This window comes from Homo sapiens, chromosome 2, assembly GCF_000001405.40.
Source record: "Homo sapiens chromosome 2, GRCh38.p14 Primary Assembly".
NCBI lineage: Eukaryota > Metazoa > Chordata > Mammalia > Primates > Hominidae > Homo > Homo sapiens.
In genome coordinates, this window is record NC_000002.12 from 240167239 (window position 1) to 240168821 (window position 1583).

General features: G+C 61.3%; 1 annotated feature.

Moving 5' to 3' along the window:
- Positions 471-1086: an enhancer, noted in NCBI's record as "H3K27ac-H3K4me1 hESC enhancer chr2:241107126-241107741 (GRCh37/hg19 assembly coordinates)". NCBI's record gives its function as "activates a minimal SCP1, AML or CMV promoter by ChIP-STARR-seq in naive H9 embryonic stem cells {active_cell/tissue: H9 hESC(naive)}" and the evidence as "EXISTENCE:reporter gene assay evidence [ECO:0000049][PMID:30033119]".

The following is a 1583-nucleotide window of genomic DNA, read 5'->3' on the forward strand; positions in this document are numbered from 1 at the left end:
CACAGCCTTTCCAACAGTTGTTGCGTGCAGGCGCGGCTACCTGGTGGGCCCTGAGCTGTACAGACATCTGCCGCCATCCCCTGACCCCAAGGCAGGTGGAAATTCAGCCCCAGAACCCTCCTGTCTGCTCCTGGCTCCAGTTGTCCCACTGAGACCTCTCTGGGAGGGGAGGGTGACCAGGCTCCCTCAGGGACAGCCCCTCTGGGTCCCTCCTTGGCCTCCTGGAGCCTCATGAAATCCTCATCCCGGACTTCCTCACCCTGGGCAGTGGCGGCCTCCATGCCTTGCCTGGTGGCTACAGGCTGCAGGAAGCCGATGAGGGTGCCCCAGCTGTGTGGCCAGAGGCAGGCCCAGTCCCCATGGGCCTCAGTTGCCCCTGGGCTGACCCCTTCCCCCACAATTCTAGAGCCCCTGGGGCGGCCTCTGCAGCAGCTGAGGAACACACTGGGGCTGAGGGTGTACGTCTCCGAAGCTTCCGCAAGCCTTGACAAATGCCGCCAGGGTGAAATTGCTCTCATGGCTCTGGTCCGGCACAGGGATGAAGCCCATAAATCCAGAGTTCAGGGGCAGGAGGCTCTGAGGAGGGATGAGGACCGAGGGCTGCTCCCTGCTAATAGCTGGGTGGCTGCGTGGCACGTGCCACTCCAGGTGGCCGTGATGCCTGGGCTGAGGGGTGAGAGACCAAGGATGCATCGAGCAGGTGCTTCTAAAACAGATGGCACCAAACCCCACCGAGTATGTTCCTGCTTTCCTCAATTCATTACTCACTCAATTCGAGTGAGCCTCGAAACTGCACCACTCACAAGGACGCAAGCAGAGGCCACAGTGCACTGAGGCACTCGGGGCCACCGTGGTCAGCAGGGCCCCCTGCTCAGTGACCTCCTGGGACGGAGGCTGTTCCCACAGGGTCAGTCCCTGCTGACCCATTGCACAGGGGTGGCAAATAGGGCAAGGCCCGGCCATGACCGGCAAGGAAGGGGCCTGCACGGGGCGGCCGGCACGACCTTGCCCAGGGTCCGAGGCTGCAGCCCCAGAACTGGTCACAGAACGGCCAGAGGGGCACGTCCAGCATCTCACGGCCAGTCAGGGTGGCTTCTCGACTTTCGCCTGTCCCCTTGGTGACAACACCCAACACATAGTGGCCTCCATGAAGACGATCTCTCCTAGTGTGAATCCTGCAGCCCCCAGGCGAGAAGCTGCCAAACGATTTACAGCACGGGTCCCCAACCTTTTTGGCACCAGGGACCGGTTTCATGGAAGACAATTTTTCCACGGATGGTGGAGTGGGGAAGGTCTTAGGATAAAAGTGTTCCACCTCAGATCATCAGGCATTAGTTAGATTCCCATAAGGAGGGGGCGACTGAGATCCTCACCTGCGCAGTTCTCAACAGGGTTCGCGCTCCTCTGAGAATCTAATGCCGCTGCTGCTCTGACAGGAGGCGGAGCTCGGACGGTCATGCTCGCCTGCCCGCCGCTCACCTCCTGCTGTGCAGCCGGGTTCCTAACAGGCCATGGACCCACACTTGCCCTCAGCCCAGGGGTTGGGGACCCCTGGTTTCCAGGATCAAGTACTCAGCCAGCCC